Genomic DNA, 22247 nt, shown 5'->3' with positions numbered 1-22247 from the left:
AACCTTGTGGCCTACCATTAAATAATAACAAAAGCCGCCACAAAACATCAGGGATTGCCATGGGCTTAGTCACTTACGTTTCAAAATGTTCCTCTGTTCCAGTTCCTCTGCAGTTGGCCTCTGGCTCAGCCGCCTACGGAAAAAATCCAGGAAAAGTTTTTGGACCATATCATAGCCTCCTTGGGTCATTAATTTCCTCGGCCCTTGCAGATACATGAGACAGTCAGTGGCTGGAGTTCTTGTTCCATCCTGTGCTCTGAAAGACTGACTCTCGCCACCACCGCCTCCTCAGTTCCTCAATTTCAAGCCCAGGAGAGGCACGTGCGTCATGTCACAGCCGCTGACCCCCGCCCTCCTCCCTGCAGCGGCCCCTCCCCAGCCCCATCTCCTCCAGTGGCCCCAGGCAAGTGGACTGCAACTCAGACGGGACTCTTTTCTTCACAGAAGTCCTTTTCTTTCCTTGTGGCCTCCTAACTTGGGGACTGTGGCCTCTTGCCTCTCTCTCCCTCCCTTGAGGCTAAAGCCTGTCTCCTGCCTCTTCTGTGCAGACCCAGTTAGAACATAAAGAGGTCTGTGGCCCCGGGGACATGTGAGAGAATGTGTCTGTCTGCAGAGAACAATGGCTGCTCTTCTTCTGGTCCTGCTCCTCTTATTTCGGAGGCTTAGAAGACATGAGTGGCAAAGGCACAGAAATGATACTTCTGTGGCCAGGCGTGAAATTTAGCCACCGTACATGAAACATCATAGCCAGGGCATGAGCCTGCAATGACGCAATGGGTGGAGGCGGGACAGGCAGTGGATGGCACGTAGTGACAGAAGTAGCCAGGGAACGGGCATGGCATCTGAGGGGAGAATGCCTGCATTAGGTCCCAGGAATGACTGACACGGACTCAGGAGCCTGAGCAGGAACAGAGACATCTGTACCTTTGAAGCTTTTGGTAATTATTTAACAACCTGCAATTATCCGGCATTCCACTTCACCCATTGGGATGAGGTGTGTGAGAAACTGAATCATTGTAGAAGAAATTTTAGGCTTCTCAGACTCCTCTATTGGGATCTAAGGGGTAGAAATGATGCTCTCCTAGTTGAGGAAGTTGCAGTCCCTCCTTGGGTATTAGAAACTGGTGTCTATAGTCGGCAAGATGTTCACATCTTGAAATCTAAAGAGAGATCCTAGAGTGAAAATATCAAGTCAATGAAGTCTCCAAACCTAACTACAGTTGGTCCTCTGTGTCCATGAGTTCCACATTCTTCGGTTCTACCAACTGCTGACGGAAAATATTAAAAAAAAAAACAAACAAAAAACAATAGTCTAAAATTATTGATATAGCATTTATCTTGTATTAGATATAAGTAATTTAGAGATGATTTAAAGGATATGGGAGGATACACATAGTTTTTTGCAAATACTACGCCATTTTATACAAGGGACTTGAGCTTCCTTGGATTTTGGTATCCAAGGGAGTCCTGGAATCAATCTCCCAGAAAGGACTATATTTTTAATTCAAAGCTTGTTGTCATTTGTGTTTTTGTTTATTGTGCTGGGCCAGAATCAATTGCTTCTGTGACATTCCCGTGTCACCACCACACATCCTATATAGGGAATGGGCTTCAATGTCTCATATAGTTTGGATATTTGTCGCTGCCCAAATCTCATGTTGAATGGTAATCCCCATTGCTCGGGGGGAGGCCTGGTGCAAGGTGCTTGGATGGGGAGCCCTCATGGCTTGGTCCTAGCTTCTTGACAGTGAGTTCTTGCAAGATCTGGTCATTTAAAACTTTGTGGCGAAACCCCGTCTCTATTAAAAATACAAAAATTAGCCGGGCATGGTGGCACATGCCTGTAATCCTAGCTACTTGGGAGGCTGAGGCAGGAGAATCGCTTGAACCTGGGAGGTGGAGGTTGCAGTGAGCCGACATTGCGCCACTGCACTCCAGCCTGGGTGACAAAGTGAGACTGTCTCAAAAAAAAAAAAAGAAAAAAAAAAAGCATGTGGCAACTCCCTGCTCACTCTCTCTCTCTCTCTTGCTCCTGCTTTTGCCATGTGATGTGCCTTCTTCTCCTTCACCTTCCTCCATGATTGGAAGTTTCCTGAGGCCTCCCTAGAAGTCAAGCAAATGCCAGGGCCATGCTGCCTGTATAGCCTGCAGAACCATGAGCCAATTAAACCTCTTTTATTTATAAATTACACAGTCTCAGGTATTCCTTTATAGTAATGCAAGAATGGCCTAATACAATGTCAGAGAAAGGATTTTTGGTCATATACCTGCTTATAAAGCCTATAGCACCCTGAAACTGTTGGAAATTGCATTCCAAAGTGTTTTTAAGAGTATAAGAACATTTTCATATTTATTATTCCTTTTCAAAATATCCCTGTGGTATAATATAAAACATATTTATCTTTGACCCAGTTCCTATCACAGAGCACCTAAAACCCCTGGAATTTCTGGGGTGTCAGGAGTGTATTTTGTTACTTGGAATGAGTCCCTTTGGATTACACCAGAGTTTGTGCTAATTAGGTGACTTAGGATGGGGCTGGCCACCAGAAAGAACACATAGTTAGAGGCCTGGAGCTTTCAGCTGGGAAGCAGGAGGGTGGGGGGCTGGAGGTGAAGTTCTATGGAAACTCTTAAACCACAAGATTAGATGAGCTTCCAGGTTGCTGACCATGGGGCTGGGGGGCACTGTTGGGAGGGTGGCACCCAGAGAGTGCACAGAAGCTCTGCCTCTCTCCCCCAATACCTTGCCCTGTCCATCTCTTCATCTGGCTGTTCATCTGTAACCTCTGTAAGAAACTGGTAAAGTAAGTGTTTCCCTGAGTTCTGTGAGCTGTCTTAGCAAATTATTTGAACACAAAGAGGGAGTTGTGAGAACCCCAGTTTACAGCTAGTGGGTCATAATATAGGTGACAACCTATGACTTGGTATTGGCATCTGAAGTGGGGGCAGTTCTGTGGGACTGAGTCCTTAACCTGTGTGATCTGACACTGTCCCAGTAGAAAGGGTCAGAATCAAATTGAATTACAGGATGTCCAGTTCATGTCTGCTGGAGAATTGCTTGGTGTGTGGGGAGCTGCCTCACACAGAAATGTGTGGGGTCACAGAAGTGTGTTAAGTGTGAGAGTAGAGTGAAAAAAAGTTTGTTTTTTTCTTTTTTTGAGACAGAGTTTAGCTTTTTTTGCCCAGGCTGGAGTGCAGTGGTGCGATCTCAGCTCACTGCAACCTCTGCCTCTCGGGTTCAAGCGATTCTCCTGCCTCAGCCTCCTGAGTAGCTGGGATTACAGGTGCGTGCCACCATGCCCCGTGCTAGTTTTTTGTATTTTCAGTAGAGACAGGGTTTCACCATGTTGGCCAGGCTGGTCTTGAACTCCTGACCTTAGGTGATCCACCTGCTTCAGCCTCCCAAAGTGCTGGGATTACAGGCATGAGCCACTGCTCCCAGTCAAAGTTTGTTTTTTCTCTTTGCAATCCCATTAAGACATTTTTCATCCCCATTGACAAGGGCCAGCTGTGTATTTGGAAATTCACAATATTAGGGGGTCTAAATTTGGATGCAGTAGTCTTTGAATTCTTTCTAAAATAGCATTCTCACGCTGCAGGAGGAAAGCGATGATTATGCAACTGAGTGAGCCGGTGTCAGAGGTCTGGAATGCAGCTTACCAACTCCACGTTGAAAGATCTTAACAGCTCTTTCTCACCTGCCAGTTTATTTTCCCTAAAAATACTTGCTGCTTTTATAAGAGATGCGCAGCCACTTTTATGGAATGGTTTGGTAATACCCAGGCTTTAAGTCAAGCTAAGTTTTGGGGGCAGAATGTTTTGAGAAAGCCTTGTAAATGTGGGTGGCGCCTACATTTGGAGATCAGGCCAGTGTTTTGGAGTCTTATGCGAAGTGTCTGCAGACTACATTGTTCCCTCATCAGCTTTGACGGTGCCATCCCATTGATCTCATTAGTGAACATGACAACTGGCTCTGTGGTGGCCTCCCCTTTTTTTTATGGGTGGTCATATTTGGAGGGGGCAAAACTGAGTGACTAGACTCTGATCAGAGAAAATTCTGTTATTAACTAGGCTGCTTTATAGTCAAACACTCATAATTTCAAATGAGTTCCTCTGTTTGTGTTTCATTTCTCTGGAAAGCGACTGAGAACATCAAGACTAATCATAGCTATAACATGCAGCTGAGCCCGCCAGAAGGGCCTGTGCTATAGTTAGTTGTTTTGACCTTGAAAATGAGATTTGGGAGGAAAATGATATGGTGGCATTGTAAGGACAAAGCACTAAGTAGCTCAGGAGCTAGGAGGTTTGGGTTCTAGTCCAGGCTCTGCTCTGAACCTATTTACCTCAGACAAGGTATCAGATCCTGCTAGGCCTATGCTCTTTTCTCTGCAAATCATAAATACTAGTTTAATAAGCTAAGGCTGATTTAATGCCTATAATGTAAGGGTATGGTTCCAAGCACTGTACATATGTTAGTTCATTTAATCTTTATCTTAAGATTTTTAACTGAATTCCAGTTGCAAAGTCTCCTTTGCCCTGGGACGTTACATATTCATAGATCTGGGGATGAGGATGTGGACATCTTGTGGAAGGGTGGCCAATATTTTGTCTGCCATAACTATGATACTTTACTAGTCAGAGGTTGCAAACTGATGCCTGGTGCACTGGATTTGACTCTATCAGTTCTCTTTGGCATGCTCAGAGGTTACACTTTTTTCTCTTTTTTGAGACAGAGTCTTGCCCTGTCACCCACGCTGGAGTGCAGTGGCACAATCTCAGCTCACTGCAACCTCCACCTCCCAGGTTCAAGCGATTCTCCTGCCTCAGCTTCCCGAGTAGCTGGGATTACAGGTGTGTGCCACCACGCCCAGCTAATTTTTGTATTTTTAGTAGACATGCGGTTTCACCACGTTGGCCAGGCTAGTCTCAAACTCCTGACCTCAGGTGATCCACCCACCTCGGCCTCCCAGAGTGCTGAGATTACAGGTGTGAGCCACTGAGCCCAGCTGGTTATACTTTTTTTGAGCCTGAATGCCTTTAGACAGAGTGTGTGATCAAATTAGCCCTCTCCCCAGGCCTCACTTATGTAATACAGGTGAGCACGCTCACATCTGTCCTGCTTTTTTTTTTTTTTTTTTTTTTTTTTTTTTTTTTCAGATCATTCCTGGACCCCCGAGGGCCTCTGAGTTTGAGACGCTGGCTGAGATCAAATGATAAGAATTCCAATTTTTGTTTTCCTAAGTCTTTCATCTGCTAATCTACCCAACATGAACCACGGGCCACATGAAGGGCCAGACACATTCTTAAGCGGCTCACAGCCTAGAGGTGCACATCTGTGATTACAATGTGCAAGGTAAAACTGGATCAACAGTTTCCAAGGACTGGCATGTAATAAAATATCCTCAAAACAACAAGCAAGTTGGGCGTGACTTAGACTTTCACTGCCCATGTAGAAGGCACTGTACATTCTTGCAGCATCTCAGTTGGCCAGCAAGAGGTGAGTCAGAAAAAAACCATTCAGCAGCCACATGGAAGTGGGGCTCACTGGGCACAAGGCAAAACTGTGAAGAAGATAAAGTGTCTGTGGTTCTGCATTGACTCTATTCCCTGGAGTCCTCCCCTCTCGAGTTCCTAGAATTATGTTATCACTCTTGCTCTATCTCATTCCTATCAAGACCTGTTTTAGAAATGGGTGCCACAGACTCAGTTACATTCAAATGTAAACCCATTCATTCATTTAGCAAGTTACTTATTAGTGCCAGTGCTGTGTCAGGTTCTACATTAGGTACCAGAGTACAGTGATGAGCAAAACCAGTCCCTGCCCTTCTGGAACAGAGAAGACTGGAAGAGGATGGGGGTAGCCATTAATCAAACAGTCACAGAAATGAGTGCAAAATGTAGCTGGAGTAAGGGCTTCCATGGTGAGGCACTTGGTGCAGGGATCTCTGGATCTGACCAAATCAGGAGGTCAGGAAAGGCTTCCAGGAGGAAGTGACACTGTGCCCAGAGCTCAGGGATGGAAGAAGGATGCTCCTTCTGGGCAGAGAGTAAGGAGAGAAGATTGGTGGGAAGGAGGGCAGGGGCCAGATGCCGTGGGTGTGATTTGGATCTGTGTCCCTGCCAATCACATGTTGAATTGTAGTCCCCAGTGTTGGAGGTGGAGCCTGGTGGGACATGATTGGATCATGGGGGTAGTTTTTCATGAACGGTTTAGTACCAACCACTTGGTGCTGTTCTAGTGAGTTGAGTGCATTCTCGCGAGATCTGGTTGTTTAAAAGTGTGTAGCACCCTTCCCTCTTGCTCCTGCTCCTCCAATGTGAGACTCCTTGCTTTCCCTCTGTTTTCCACCATGATTGGAAGCTTCCTGAGGCCTCACCAGAGGCAGATGCCAGCATCATGCTTCCTGTGCAGCCTGCAGAACTGTGAGCCAATTAAACCTCTTTTCGTTATAAACTACCCAGTCTCAGGTATTTCTTCACAGCAGTGTGGGAATGGCCTAATACAGATGCTTCCGGGACTTAGATCTTCTTTTTCTAGGAGCAATGTGAAGCCGTTGAAGAGTTTAAGTTTTAGGGTGTGAGAGGGGAGGAGTGAATGAAATGATCAGACTTACAGTGGAAAGAGATCATGCTGGTTATTATATGGAGAAGGGATTGGGGGAGGCAAGAGGAAACCCGAGCAGAGGCTTTGGGAGGCTTGGCACACCTGGTAAGAAATGGTGGAGGCTTGGGCGAGGCTGTGGCAGTGATGTGCAAGCTCTTAGGAAGTCAGGTAGCATATGTGAATGGACAGGAAGAAGCAGGTGTACAGGATATCTCCTTAGGTTTTCTAACTCATGCAACTAGATGGATGGGAATGCTGTTCACTGAGGCAGGCACACTGCAAGAGAACCAGCGTGTTTGTGAAGGAAGAGTGGAAGAAAACCATGAATTTGAATTTGGATCTGTTACATCAGAATGCTCCTGAGACATATGAATGAAGCTGTCATGTAGGCAGCAGGATACATTTAGCTCAGTGGAGAGGAGAGGACTAGGCCAGTGATAGAAATCTGAGACTAGTCTGCAATATAGACAATATTTGAAGCCATGAGTATGGAGAGAGTAGAGAATGGGAAGAGGCGAGGGCTTAGGATGGAACTTTGCCGAATTCCAGTATTTAATGCATGGACTAAGGAGGATGACCCTGCCATGGATTCTGGGGAGGGGAGTTCTTGGAGGTAGGATGAGGACTAAAATGTCATATCATGGAAGCAACGTAATGGGAAAGAAAATATAGTAACTAATGCTAAGGCTTTCTGAAGTGGAGTCGAAGGTTGCAAGAGGATCGCACTCACACCTGCTGAAGGTCAAACCCAGGGGATGTTCCAATAGACTCGGTCAAACAACTGAAGTCAGCATCTGCTGGCCTTCAACACCTCAGCTGAGAGTACTCTCATTAACTAACCAATCACAACGGCTTTGTGATTTAGGATTTCTGCCTGGCCAATGAACTACTTCCGAAAATAACTTTTTATGACAATCCTCTATTTTAAAAATTCTCTCCTGCAGCCTGCCTTATAGGGCACTCTTCAGGGCTGCCCTGATCCGGTGTACCCCAGCTGCCATTTTTGCTTCCCAAATAAGTGCCTTTGACCTGCATGTCAATCTTTTCGTTAACAGTAAGATGATAGGTATGGCCCACAAAGAGTTCTGAGAGCTGCTGTAAGGTTAGATGAGGCCTGAAAAAAATGCCCACTGGGTTTAGCACCATGGAGGCTGTTACTGACAACACCTAGAGCCCCTTCAGTGGCGTGGCAGGAAGAGAAGCCAGATTGGAGAGGGCTGAGGACAGGGGTGGAAAAATGGATGCACCGAAGCTGGAGGACTTAGCCACGAAGCCTGGCTTTGAAGCGGGTGAGAGAAGTAGAAGTGAAGGAGGCTGTGGTGGAATTTTATTTTATTTATTTTATTTTATTATTTTTTTTTTTTCAGAGATGGGGCCTCACTCTGGTCACCCAAGCTGGAGTGCAGTGGCACCACCTTGGCTCACTGCAGCCTCAACCTCTCGGACTCAAGTAATCCTCTCACCTCAGCCTCCTGAGCAGCTGGGACTATAGGCATGCACCACCATACCTAGCTAATTTTTAATTTTTGGTAGAGACGAGGTCTTTCTGTGTTGCCCAGGCCAGTCTCAAACTCCTGGGTTCAAGCTGTCCTCCTGCCTTGGCCTCCCAAAGTGCTGGGATTACTGTTATAAGCTACCACACCTGGCCAAATTGTATCGTATTTTTTTCTCAGATGAGGGCTCACTCTGTGGCCCAGGCTGGAGTGCAGTGGTGCAAACTCGGCTCACTGCAACCTCTGCCTCCCAGGTTCAAGTGATTCTCCTGCCTCAGCCTCCCGAGTAGCTGGGATTACAGGCACATGCCACCACACCAGCTAATTTTTGTATTTTTAGTAGAGATGGGGTTTCACCATGTTGGCCAGGCTGGTCTCGAACTCCTGACCTCAGGTGATCCACCCACCCTCAGCCTCCCAAAGTGCTGGGATTACAGGTGTGAGCCACCACACCCAGCCCAAATTTTATTTTTTTAATGGATGAAAATGGGGCATGTTTAATGGAAATAATCCAGATTAGATGGTGGGGGGTGGAGGGAGAAGCTGAATATATAAAAAGGGAAAGGCCCAATTGGTAGTGCATGAGTCCTGAGAAGGTAGGAGGGCTTGGGATCCAAGGGATGGAGGTAGCATTATTTTTGAGTGGAAGAAGAACAGCTCTTTACTGGGACAGCAGGGAAGCAGGACAGAGTGGGTTGCATGTAGATTTGCAATGTTCCGTATTGGAATTATAGAAGAGTTCCCAATTGATAGCTTTTGCTTATTCTTTCAAGTTGAGATACACTGAAGATGACTTATTTTAGTTTAAAATTTTACCATTCACTGGGAGATTTGTCTTTGATCAGAGACAAATTCACAAACCCAAAGCATAAAGCTCCAGCTTTGGAATTCTAGTCATCAAAATTTTCGGGGGACACCCAGGGCATCTTGCCATCTTCACCAAGCAAAGCAGCCATCTGCTTGGCTCATTTTATGATCGATGTACCTGGTGCATCTCTTAAGTACTGGTTAACATAGAAAGCTGAGCAGCAGAGCACGACGACGTGGTCACCTGTATGAATCATCCCAAGGAGCTGCTAACTCCAAGAATCAAAGTCAAGATGCCTCCTGAATATACTGTATCTCCTTTGCTCCCACCTTGCCAGTAGATTTAACTAGTTGTATCTGATTAAAACTAACATTAAATTAAACAAAATTCCTGACTGTATATCTAAACGTGATCACTTTGCTAGGTGTCAAAGGCAATGATTTTTGGAGATAAATTTTTACATAAAATGAATCATCCAAAATTAAATGTTTAATGTACTTTCAAGGGATCTTAAGTAGCTTTGCTACTATATATGTGACCCTGGTTTATAAAATATGTCTGAGCAGCAAAATGGTTTCCATGCCTCAAATGGTTTTTTCTTTACCATGGACTATGGCTAAATGATTCAGTGAACTGAAAAAATCTCTGGGTTCCTGTTTAAATGCCACATGCTATCAAGTGCTGTATGTGAGCCTTCTATTTTCTTTAAAAATTTAAGAATGGATCTTGCCTTTTTTTTTTTTTCAGTCTGAACAATGCTGTCTCTACTGGTGACCATAAGAAATAATCAAATAAATTGAAGTTTTCTTTTTGCATGGAAAGACTGAAAAAAAAAAAAAAAAAAAAAAACACTAAAAGCCCAAAATAAAGGACACTTCAGTTTTGACCTTGGAAAAAGAAGACTGGTAGAGAATGTAGTGGCAAGATGCTTTAAATGTATGCAGAGCAGGCAGCATTGTCTTTGCACATTACAGCATCTCCCTAGAGAAGTGACAAAACCCTTGTAGGTTTTGTTGGTCTGACTTGTTGAGGCTGACAGAGATTAGTTGTGCTGCACAGAGCTAATGGGCTTTCTGCCGTTTCCAGAACACCAAGGTCACAGCTTTCATTAGCATTTACAACTGCTTATTGTTTTGAGGGCCTTGATTTTAAAGTCTGGATCTCTGAAACTGTATCTGCATTTCAGGACAAAGGAAAAACAGAATTAACTTGGGTTTTCTGCAACTCAGCACCAGAGAAAGGTAACTGCATTTTCAGACAGATGGAAAGAGGAAATGCAAAAGTCCTCACAGAGAATGACAGAAAATAAGATCCTCTCTCCAAAAGTAGGAGGAGATGGGGTTTTCTAACAGGTATCCAGAAGTGTAGATGGGCTTGGTGGGATCAGGGGAAAGGGAGAAGCACTGAATTCTATCCCCTCTACATCCTTTGGAAACTTCCTCCTGAGAACCTATGAGTTCCATGAGGATTGGGGCATTTCTGTCTGGCCTTGGTTATTACTACATCCCCAGTTCCTAAGAGAGCATAGAGAGCATAATAGATGCTCATTTAGTAACTATTTAACCCAGATCCCACCAGTTCAGATGCCACACATGCTCCTTGGATGATCTCATCAACACTCATGACTTCCAATAGCATCAATATGCTGATGATTCCAAAATCTAAACCTCCAGTCATATTTTTGAGTTCCTGGCCACCTTTCTAACTGCTGTCTTGTACTCCTATGGGCCATCAGACTTAAAGGGTCCCAAATGAATTAACTCATCTTCTTCCCCCATACATCTTCCTCTCCAAGTGGTCTTGTATGGAGTCCTAGTGAGATGCCCAGGCCATGAAACTGGGAATCATCCTGTCTGAACTTCACTCTTGATGGCCAATCAACCACCAAGAGTCCTATATCCAAACCATCTCTGATTCCATCTACCACCACCTTGGGGAAGCAGTCCATCAGCATCTCTCCCAGTTGCTGCCAGCCTATCCCACTCTGGTCCTCCTCCAGCCCATACAGAATGATCTTTCTAAGGGACCGATCTGATCACACCACTCTGTGCTTGAAAAGTAAGTATGCCTTTACAGTGCTCACAGGACAGAGTCAAAACACTCAGTGTTCTGAAAGATTCTTCATGATCTGGCTACCTGCCTGTCAAGAATCTGCCCATTCTGTCCTTCACCCAGAATGATCTCTTCTTGGTTCCTTCCAGATTTGCATGCCCTTCCTCATAGCCTTACCATTCTTTTCCTTCCTCTTTGTCTGTCTAACTGACAATAATCCCTAACGTTACAGCTTAAAGCTTCAGTATCACTTCCTCTGTCTGCAAATCTCTTGGTTTAGGTGTCCTACAGTGTGCAACAATATTCCTGCATGTTCCATACCCCAGTGCTTGTTTTACTTTCTTTTATTGCCTGTCCTATTCACCAGACAACAAGGCTTACACTCTGTGAGGCCAGGGCCACCTCTGCCTCACTTAGACAACCAGGGATAGCTTCCTGTCCATAGAATCTGAGCAGGTGCACAGAACACCCTCCTACTCCACCCCTGCACAGAAGGGCTTCCTGCTTGGGGTTTAATGCTCTGTTGCCATTTCAAACTTTTCAATATTTTTTTATCTTTTGAACAAGGAACCTCTCACTTGTTCACCATGACATCTGCAGAGCCTAGCACAGAGTCTGGTAACTGGAGATGCTTAATGTTTGTGAAATAATTAAATGGATGCTACTTGGTGACTTTTCCTTACCTTTAACCTTTACCTCTTTCTTGGTTCTTTCCTTAGGGCAAACAACTGTATTCTCCATTAGAAATAAAACTCTTTAAAACAACAACAAACGAACAAAGCTGTCCTCCTACGCCAGCCTCTTCCTCCAGCTCACCCCTCTCACCTGTCTGCTCTTGGCTGCCAGACCTCTCGAAAGGGTGGTCCAGGCTCGAGGTCTCAGTAACTCTCCAGTCTGGCTTCTGTTCACACAGCTTTACTGTGCTGGTTCTCAGCATGGGTGATTTTGCCTCCTAGGATGCATTTGGTAATGTCTGAAGTTATTTTTGGTTGTTGCGATTGAGAGGGTGCTGTTGGCATCCGGTAGATAGAGGCCAGGGTGCTAAACATCTTCCAATGCATGGGACAGCCCCCACCACAAAGATCATTCAGTCCAAAGCATCAACAGTGCTTAGGTTGAGAAGCCTTGCTCTACTGAATCAATTCTTGATAAGGTCATCGATGATTCAATTGTCTAATCCAGTGGCCTTTTGGAGCCCTTATTTTACTAAACCTTTCTCTATTATATGATACCTTTGACTAATAGTCTCATATTTCTCTCTTAATATTTCCTAATTCCTGCTACTCAGCAGATCTCAGGTGTGATAAAAGCCCAGGGGTGCCCTATCCTTCAGAGTGGCTTTGGGCAGTATGATGCATGCCAGTCACCAGCTTGGGTCAGCCTGCTGTTTAACAAGTGTGAGATCTTGAATGAGACGGCATTCCTCTCTAAGCCTCAGCTTTTTCATCTCTGTGCGATGGAACAAAGAGAATACTTTAACTGCCAGTCCTGGTCAAAATTCTTAGTATTTTAGTGCTAAGAAGGGGCAGAGGAGAAGTTGGGAGGCGGGGAGGACATAGCTTGGTTGTTTTACTCCTCTGCTACCAGCCTTCCACCGCCTGACATTGCGCTAAGAATAATGCTTGAATTCACTCCACACCACAGCCTGGCCACAATGCCTCATTTACCTTCACTCCCTTATTCACAGTAGGACAACCCAGTAGCACATTCACAGTTTAGGGAAGCTGAGATGCCTCCTCTGATTCTACCAGGCAGAGGTAGTAGTTCTGTCTATGGAGTTCCCCATCTTGACGATGGCCTTATCCATTACATTGGTGATACCTGCGTACATGAAGATCTTCTCAGTTGGACGATGAATGCTCCAAAACCACCAATTACATCTTATTTATCTCTGTGTTCTTAGTACTTAGTACAGCAGCTGGCACATAATAGGGGCTCATTTGATTTTTTATGTTAAACAAATTAATAATCTCTCGCCCCTGGAGTTGTGCCCATGGGATGAATGAGAATGCTGGGCGTATGGGAAGGCATTCCTGCCACAGAAGAGGGGCTGCTGGGAGGGCTGAACAGCAGTTTTGCTTTTATTCCTCAGTACTATGCCCTTTTCTCTCTGCAAACTGAGCAGAACAACTCTTAATACTATTGATCCGCACGCCCAGCTCTTCCCAGGCATTTCCATCAATGATTTTCAAATTTCTGTCATTCCCCTTAAGCTAAGAACAGTTAGCCTGGCTAGAGGAGAGAGCACAGAGGGGGGAAGATGAACTGGGGCCCTGAGGCCCGCATCCTGGCCTGCCTGCACCACTCATCAGAAGGTCCCTTGAGCACATGACATCTCCTTACCCCTCCATGCCCAATTTCACTATATGACAAATGGTCATAATGACATCTAGCCCGCCTGCTGTGTAGGACTGTCAGGAGGATCAAAGGAGAATTAGATGTGAAAGTCCCTTTTAAAAATAAGTACAAAGCATGAAATACTATTTTTGGTAACTTGAAAAAAATCCCTTACCTGAAATAGATAAACAGGTTACGCTTAAAAGAATATTTTTGGCTTTATTCTCTGGAGGCTATGACCCCAGTGCAATGGCCTGTGGCTAAGATGAGACACTGAGATAATAACCCAAAAAAGTATTGTAATATTGCTGGTCATGTTGAGTGGAAATCACTTTTGGAGTAATGATGGGACTGTGTGTATTACTAGGCATCAAATCCATTGAAAAACAAAACAGTGAGACGGTTGAGAGCCTGCACAGTGAACATTTTCAGTATTATTAGGATTATTGGACATAAACCCCATGTCAGGATGATTCCACTTTGAAAGAGTATCTGAGTTGTTATAACAGAAATTAAGGTAGTTAATTACAACAGAAATTAAGACAGTCATTTCAACAAGGCTATTTTTACAAGAAGAATCCATCAAAATGAGTGCCAAAACATTGTGATGCCAAAAAGCTAGGAAATACAGAATAAAAGACAAATGTCCAGTGCTCCACCACTTTAAAGTGACTCAGGAGATTTGGTCACCTTTAGCTTAACTCCTCCAACCATCCCTGCGTGTATTATGTGCCAGAAATTGGGCTAGGCTTTCAGTTAGAGCTATATATAAAAACAACATCAGCAAGAATGACCACGCACAGATGATTTAAAAAGCTCTGCCATCAAATATAGACCATGTTTTATCTTTTGCTATTAGCTTCTCCTCACACCTTAAAAACTAAAATTTAGCCTTTGCTTTTCCCTGCTCCTTTCCAATAAAGAGCTCTACCAGGTACCTTTGGCAAAAAATGAACCTTCTTTCTAGGAGCACAAAGCATTTTTTAAGTAACCCTCTGTCAGAGTCTTCAAGAAGCTTAACATGATCTGATCAAAGGAAAAGACTGAGATTGAGGCAAAACTGGTGCAGGGCCACCACTGCCAATCATCACCCTTCACGAGACTAGTGGGAACAAAAACCACACTGAACTTATAACTTCAAGCCCATTGCTGGTCCTCTTGCTACAGCATTTTGTCTCTTTTCCTGATCTCTGCCGCTTGCCATGGTTTCTATGTCAGTGGTTCTCATTCCCGTAGCACCTTAGAATAACCTGTGTTACCTTAAACCTGGGCCACATTCTTAACCAATTAAATCAGAATGTATGAAAGTAGAGCTTAAGCACTGTTTTTTTTTTTTCTTTTTTTAAGACGGTGTCTCTCTCTGTCGCCGAGGCTGGAGTGCAGTGGCGCGATCTCAGCTCACTACAACCTCCGCCTCCCAGGTTCAAGCAATCCTCCTGCCTCCCCCCTAGAAGCTGGAATTACAGGCACGCGCCACCATGCCCAGCTAATTTTTGTATTTTTAGTAGAGACGGGGTTTCATCATGTTGGCCAGGCTGGTCTCGAACTCCTGACCTCAGGTGATCCATCCACCTCGGGCTTCCAAAGTGCTAGGATTACAGGCATGAGCCACTGCTCCCAGCCTGTTGTATTTTTTTGTTTGTTTGTTTAAGCTTTGCAGGTAATTCAAACCTGCACTGAGGATTGTGAAGAATCCCAGGTCAGTGCTTCTCACAGCGTGGTCCCCAGCGTCAGCATCACCTGGGTGCTCTCTAACCTGCAAACCACTGGGCTCCGGAGCTACTGAATCAGAAGGTCTGAGAGTGGGGCACAGCCATCTGTGCTGGTTTTACAAGCTCTCTCCAGGAGATGCACGTGCATGCTAAAGTTTGAGAACAACAGCTCTAGATGCTGTCATAAAAGGTTGAAGGAGGCTGCTTCAATAGGTGGGTGGACATGCAAGCAGGTAAGGTTAGAGAGATGTGAAGATGTGGAGACAGCCTGCATATGACTCTACTGACAAGACAGAGGTCACTGAGCAATAAGGAAAGAAATAGCATGCGCAAAGTGTCAGCCTCCATCTACAAGGGAAAACGTGAGATTTGTGTTCTATCCTGTGGAAGTAAGAAGATCCCAGAGGAGTCAAGAGCTGTGATTTAGACCAATGGGTTTAACCTTTATTTATTTTATTTTATTTCCATTTTACTTAATTCAATATGATTTAAGATATATCTGATGAACGTTTTCCAGATAAGGTGCTGGATGGGTGGGAATTAGAAAGATGATTATGATGTATAATAAAACTCTATGAAGTTAGGGATTGATATGGTTTGGATCTGTGTCCCCACCCAAATCTCATGTTCAATTGTAATACCCAGTGTTGGAGGTGCAGCCTGGTGGGAGGTGACTGGATCATGGGGGTGGTTTCTCATGAATGGTTTAGGACCATTCCCTTGGTGCTGTTCTCCTGATAGTGAATGAGTTCTCATGAGATCTGGTTGTTGAAAAGTGTGTGGCACCTCCTCCTCTCTCTCTTGCTCCTGCTCCTGCCATGTCAGATGCCTCACTCCCCCTTTGTTTTCTGCCATGATTGGCAGCTTCCTGAGGACTCCCCAGAAGCAGAAGCTGCTAGGTTTCTTGTACAGCCTGCAGAACCAGGAGCCAATTCAATCTCTTTTCTTTAAAAATTACCCAGTCTCAGGTATTTCTTTGTAGCAGTTCGAGAAAAGGCTAATACAGAAATTTGAAACTGAGGAGTAGGGTATTGCTATAAAGATACCTGGATATGTGGAAGTGACTTTGGAACTGGGTAATGGACAGAGATTGGAAGAGTGTGTAGGGCTCAGAAGAAGAGAGGAAGATGACGGAACATTTGGAACTTCCTAGAGACTGGTTGAATGGCTTGTGACCAAAATGCTCAAAGTGATATGGACAGTGAAGGCCAGGATGATGAAATCTCAAATGGAAATGAGGAACTTATTGGGAACTGGGGCAAAGGTCACTTCTGTTATGCTTTAGTAAAGAACTTGGCTGCACTGTGCCTCTGCCCTAGGGATCTGTGGAACTTTGAACTTGAGAGTGATGATTTAGAGTATCTGGCAGAAGAAATTTCTAAGCAGCCAAATTCAAAATGTAGCCTGGCTGCTTCTAATGATATATGCTGACATGCATGAGCAAAAAGATGACCTAAAACTGGAACTTACATTTAAAGGGGAAACAGGGTAAAAGTGGAAACTTTGCAGCCTGGCCATTTGGTAGAAAAGAAAAGCCCATTTTCAGGGGAGGAATTCAAGTAGGCTGCAGAAATTTGCATAAGTAAAAAGGAGCTAAGTGCTAATAGCCAAGACAATGGGGAAAAGACCTGGAAGCCACTTCAGAGACCTTCACAGCAGCTCCTCCCATCACAGGCCCAGAGGCCTAGGAAGGAAGAATGGTTTCATGGGCCAGGCCTAGGGCCCCGCTGCCCTGTGCAGCCTTGGGACACTGCTCCCCGCATCTCAGTCACTCTAGCTCTAGCCATGGCTCAAAGGGGCCCAGGTGCAGCTCAGGCTGCTGCTTCAGAGGGTGCAAACTGTACGCCTTGGTGGCTTCCATATTGTAGTAAGGCTGTGGGTGTTCAGAGTACAAGAGTTGAGGCCTAGACTTTAGAGTATGTATGGAAAAGCCTGGGTGTCCAGGCAGAAGCCTGCTGCAGGGGCAGAGCCCTCATGGAGAACCTCTGCTAAGGCAGCGCAGAGGGAAAATGTGGGGTTGGAGCCCCCCCCACAGAGTCCCCACTGGGGCACTGCCTAGTGGAGCTGTAAGAAGAGGGCCACTGTCCTCTAGGCCCCAGAAGATCCACTGGCAGCTTGCACCCTGTACCGAGAAAAGCCACAGGCACTCAACATCAGTCCATGAGAGCAGCTGTGGAGGCTAAACCCTGAAAAGCCACAGAGGCAGCACTGGCCAACGCTTTGGGTGCCCACCATCCACACCAGTGTGGCTGGGATGTGGGACATGGAGTCAAAAGAGATTTAGGAGCATTAAGATTTAATGACTGCCCTGCTAGGTTTAGGACTTACATGGGGCCTGTAGCCCCTTTCTTTTGGCTGATATCTCCCTTTTTGAATGGAAGTATTTACCCAATGCCTATACCCCCATGTATCTTGGAAATAACTAACTTGTTTTTGATTTTACAGGTTCATAGGCAGAAGGGACTAGCCTTGTCTCAGATAAGACTTTTGAGTTAATGTTGGAATGAGTGAAGACTGGGGATTGGTGGGAAGGAATGATTTTATTTTGCAATATGAGAAGGACATGAGATTTGGGAGGCGCCAGGGGCAGAATGATATGGTTTGGATCTGTGTCCCTACCCAAATCTCATGTTCAATTGTAATACCCAGTGTTGGAGGTGGGACCTGGTGGGAGGTGATTGAATGATGGGAGCAGTTTCTCATGAATGGGTTAGCACCTTCCCCTTGGTGTTGTTCTCCTGATAGTGAATGAGTTCTCATGAGATCTGGTTGTTTAAAAGTGTGTGGCATCTTCCCCTCACTGCCTCTTGCTCCTGTTCCTAGCATGTATGACACATTGCAGCCACTTTGTTTCCTGCCATGATTGGAAATTTCCTGAGGCCTCCCCAGAAGCAGAAGCCGCTATGTTTCCTGCGCAACCTGCAGAATTAGAAGCCAATTAAACCTCTTTTCTTTGTAAATTACCCAGTCTCAAGCATTTCTTTATAGCAGTGCAGGAATGGACTAATACAGAGATGTGTTGCTTTCCTGCCTTGGGGAGCTAAGAGGTGGGTCTTTCTCAGTTCAGAATTTATGTCCTCTCTTAACTTGTTGCATATAAGAATTTCCTATCTATAATGTCTTTATATAAAAATAGATAAGTAGTCTATTGCTTTCTTGGCTCTTATGGAAGATGCAACTAACAGTAATCTACATGAGTCACACTGAAAAACAGGTACAGTTCATTTGTCAACTCTGGTTGGTTGGTAAAGGCAGCCTGGAGCTCTGTGTTGAGAAGGATTCTGAAGCCTGCCCACACCTTTATAATTAGTTCTGTTGTAAATAAACCCTCCTCAGGTTATCATAATTAGGAGCCATCTGTTTCCTGCTGGAACCTTGACTGATGGGAAGATCATGATAGAGAACGTCTTCCTTTTTGATGAAGGTATTCAGATTTGGGACACTATGGATATCCAAAGAGGAAGGAGACACTTGCTTTGATAGTCATATAACCACATCAATCCTGGTGATCAACAGTGACAGATAATGGCAATCAGATTAGATGACCTTTGCACCATTTCTCTTTAAGGATAGAGAGTTACACTGGGCCCAATACTCCAACTAAGAGGACTAAGCCAAAAAATATTCAGATGACTTATAAATAACAATTTTCCATGTCACAAAAATACATAACCTCTAATGTTTGCAAATTACCTCAATTAATTCTGGGATACCCCAGTTGGTTTTTTTTTAAATTTATTTTATATTTATTTTATTTTTGAAATGGAGTCTTGCTCTGTTGCCCAGGCTGGAGTGCGGTGTTGCAATCTTAGCTCACTGCAACCTCCGCCTCCCGGGTTCAAGTAATTCTCCCACCTCAGCCTCCCGAGTAGCTGGGACTACAGGCATGTGCCACCACGCCTGGCTAATTTTTGTATTTTTAGTAGATATAGGGTTTCACCATGTTAGCCAGGCTGGTCTTGAACTTCTGACCTCAGGCAATCTGCCTGCCTTGGCCTCCCAAAATGCTGGGATTACAGGCATGAGCCACTGCACCCAGCCACCCCAGTTGGTTTCTAATGTGTGCCCCAAATCAAGTCCTGCAATTATCAAATGGCATTGGGCATTTTCCTCCTTTACTGTCTTAGCCCTTCAGTGAGGTCTCCCAGCAATGCCTAATCACTGCCACTGCCCAATGTGGAGGCACAGATGTCCACGTCCATGCAGCTGACCTCCCGCAGGAAAGGAGACTGCTGGTGGACCCAGGATACACCCACCGAACATGCCCACCACTGTGGGCATGCTTAGGCTCTGCTGAGTCTAAAGCAGGTCTTTTGCTGAGATTCAGATGGTGGTGGACATCCAGATTTCCTTTTCTTAACTGAAGGCTTACCCTAGGTATCACTGTACTTATTGTCCTTACTTCTCTAAGCAGTGTTGCTTCTGATGATTACAGAACTGTGGGGCAAGGACAAAGAGTGATCAAATAAAGAGAGGAAGTTCTGGTGTTTGCTATAGAGAGGGACTGTCACAGGCAATATTGTGGTTAGGTTGATATGCACAGCCCAGACAACAGAAAAATGTCATCATTCATTCATTTATTCACAAAGTACCATGGTTCTAGATTTCTCCAATGCCTGTGCTTAGTTGGGCCTCAATAAACAACACATGCACCCACCAATCATTTTTCAAAGGTAAGCAAGGGATGAAACGTTAAAAATAGGCAACAAGGTGCCTCCTTCCATGTCTTTCTCTGACTGCAACACGTGGATTCCTCCTAGGAGCTACAGAACATGTGCAGCTCATGTGTTTTAAATGTCACCCGCAAAGGGCCAATCTCTCATTTTGGGGCGATCATACTTCCCAAGGAGAGGGCTGAGGATAGAGGGTGGGGAAGAAGCCAGGAGACGGGTGGCAGGAATCCCGATCCTTTCCCTCCTCATTCAGTGGGGCCACAGCTATTTTCCTTCCAGCTGTCTCCCAAAGTCTCTTCTGAACTTGTTTCTGGAAACAATAACAACTCAAGTTCAGATGAGATCTCATGCTATTTAGAAACCTGGAAACGAAAACACAAAAACCCCAAGGAATCTCAGATGCTCAAGTGGAGGGGGGTTTTGGCTGCAATATTTTGCTAAGTTTTCTATAATTCTCCTTTAATAAAAGTCTCATTTTCCCTACCTTTCCTGACCCATGGTCCATAAATTTAAACATAAAGCTTCATTTTTAAGCCAATAGCCTTGTAGCCCAAAGGAATGGTATGAATATAGATACTCTCATTAATCTCTAAGTGTTTTCCTGCGGCCGATACTCTTTCACAAAATACATTTTTCTGCAGATGTGACACAACAACAAAGAGACCCCTCTCCTCTCCCCCAAAACTTTTTTTTTTTTTAATAACAGCAGCATGGCAGATTTTAAGAATGTCTAACCAGTGTAGATTTGTATTTTTGCATTCTTTGAAAATTGGTTAATTATAATGAGATCAGGATAGATGGAATTTTAATAATGGAAATAATGGAATGAGTTATTTATCCAGGAAAGGATCTATTTATATGGGAAACGGAAAGAAGGAAAAGAATGGAAAATGGAGAGTCAAATGGAAGTTTCAAATAGACTTTATCCTTTTCTTTTTTAGACTTTTTTCTTTTCTTTCTTTCCTTTTTCTTTTTTTTTTTTTTTTGAGACAGGATCTTGCTCCGTTGCTCAGGCTGGACTGCAGTGGCACGATCTTGATTCACTGCAACCTCTGACTCCCAGGCACCTGGCTAATTTTTTTTTTCTATTTTTTTTTTTTTGTAAAGGCAGGGGTTTGCCATGTTGCTCAGGCTGGTCTAAGCGATCTGCCCTGGGCTCAGGCGATCTGCCCACCTCAGCCTCCCAAAGTGCTGGGATTATGGGCATAAGTCACCGTGCCTCCTGGCCTTTTCTTTCTTTCTTTCTTTTTTTTTTTTTTAAGGCAGGATCTTGTTCTGTTGTTCAGGCTGGAGTACAGTGGTGCAATCACAGCTCACTGTAGCCTCAAACTGCTGAGCTCAAGTGATCCTCCCACTTCAGCCTCCCCAGTAGCTGGGACTATAGGTGTGTGCCACCATGCCCAGCTAATTTTTAAATTTTTGTAGAGATGGGGATCTTGCTATGTTGCTCAGGCTGGTCTTGAACTCCTGGCCTCAAGCAATCCTCCTGCCTCAGCCTCTCAATCCCCTTATTATATATATAAATTTAAATGATTTTTCACTAATTCTTCAGCTAATCTACTCAATGGCTTGAGAGAGAGCCCTTGAGAGCGCAGATAACTGCTTTCAAATAGGAGACTCAAAGAGAGGCTGAATTTAGAGCTGGTATCTGCCATAGGACTGTCAGAGCTCAGCCTGGCACACATTAGTCCGTGTTCTCTTCCCTTCCTTATGGTTTTTTGTTTTATTTTCTCACATTCCGGTCACATCAAATACACTCAACACACACATGCACCATGAATACATCCCCACCCTCCCCTATATGAGGCCAGACAGACATCAGAGACCACAGCGCCCCCAGCACATGGGCAGGCAGTTTCTTGATGCTGAAATGCCCCAGCTGGAGGCCGGTGAGAACCTGGACAGATCCTATTTGCAGCCCTGCACCCGTGACCGTAATGTCCCTCTCAGGGAGCACCAGACAAACCAACTCCTGCAGTGAAGATAAACACCTGCCTCCATCCTGAGGGAACGACTGATTGTGTAACGTTCCCCTCAGTCACAGGAGCCATCTCCCCCTTCTAGGAGAGCGCCCGCCTATGGCCAGCATCCCACCCGATGTGTCTCTAACAAGAGGTCACTGGGAGGCTGAGTGTGCCTGGCAGGCAGAATCCTACCCACAGCAGACAGGGACACACAGCCACTCGGGGCCCTGAAAGCTGCCCTTCTCAGGTGGCTGCCACTCATGGGAGAGGCATGTGGACGATGCACAGGGACCACTGTCAGTAGCTCCTTTCACTGATCAGAAGATTGATTGTGTGTGTGTGTGTGTGTAAAATGGATATGTTTTCTTCATACAATAAGTGTCATGTAGAGGATTTGTCAGCCTCTCTTCACCACAGTGTTACACACATCCCAAGCATATTCCACGGTTTTGCAATTTGCCAGAGCTCTTGCCACATCTCTTCCTATCTGTGTAACACTCCATTTGTGCACCACCTGTCTTGAGGATAGACCTGTCTTGCGCCCAGACCTGTCTTGCGCCCAAGGAGTCATGTTTTAGTATCTGGCTCTTACTCGTTGGCGACC

General features: G+C 44.9%; 2 protein-coding genes across 21 annotated transcripts in view, besides 3 other annotated features; one reads left to right on the top strand and one right to left on the bottom strand.

The window, feature by feature from the left end:
- Positions 1–6457, top strand: part of TBC1D7-LOC100130357 (TBC1D7-LOC100130357 readthrough) — a 62002-nt gene extending 55545 nt beyond the window's left edge. Inside the window, exon 9 of the mRNA NM_001318809.2 lies at positions 5158–6457. The gene's annotated coding sequence lies outside the window, so the exon portion shown is untranslated. The remainder of the gene's footprint in view (positions 1–5157) is intronic.
- The window catches only part of PHACTR1 (phosphatase and actin regulator 1), a 571071-nt gene that overhangs the window by 14845 nt on the left and 533979 nt on the right, over positions 1–22247 (bottom strand). For 19 of the 20 annotated variants that reach the window (XM_005248934.4, NM_030948.6, XM_047418373.1 and 16 more), the window contains one exon: positions 78–133. In XM_005248934.4, the coding sequence (XP_005248991.1) occupies positions 78–133 (56 nt within the window). Of the gene's footprint in view, positions 1–77; positions 134–19566; positions 19990–22247 lie in introns of those variants that run through there. The other variant, NM_001374582.1, reaches the window with a different exon arrangement.
- Positions 414–513: an enhancer, noted in NCBI's record as "active region_24021". NCBI's record gives its function as "activates an Ori minimal core promoter by ATAC-STARR-seq in GM12878 lymphoblastoid cells {active_cell/tissue: GM12878}" and the evidence as "EXISTENCE:reporter gene assay evidence [ECO:0000049][PMID:35858748]".
- Positions 14330–14830: an enhancer, noted in NCBI's record as "H3K27ac hESC enhancer chr6:13258395-13258895 (GRCh37/hg19 assembly coordinates)". NCBI's record gives its function as "activates a minimal SCP1, AML or CMV promoter by ChIP-STARR-seq in primed H9 embryonic stem cells {active_cell/tissue: H9 hESC(primed)}" and the evidence as "EXISTENCE:reporter gene assay evidence [ECO:0000049][PMID:30033119]".
- Positions 14831–15331: an enhancer, noted in NCBI's record as "H3K27ac hESC enhancer chr6:13257894-13258394 (GRCh37/hg19 assembly coordinates)". NCBI's record gives its function as "activates a minimal SCP1, AML or CMV promoter by ChIP-STARR-seq in primed H9 embryonic stem cells {active_cell/tissue: H9 hESC(primed)}" and the evidence as "EXISTENCE:reporter gene assay evidence [ECO:0000049][PMID:30033119]".

The sequence above is a fragment of the Homo sapiens genome, chromosome 6, assembly GCF_000001405.40.
Source record: "Homo sapiens chromosome 6, GRCh38.p14 Primary Assembly".
NCBI classification, from domain to species: Eukaryota; Metazoa; Chordata; class Mammalia; order Primates; family Hominidae; genus Homo; species Homo sapiens.
The sequence above is the reverse complement of the archived record's forward strand: the minus strand, read 5'-3'. Positions and strand labels throughout refer to the sequence as shown.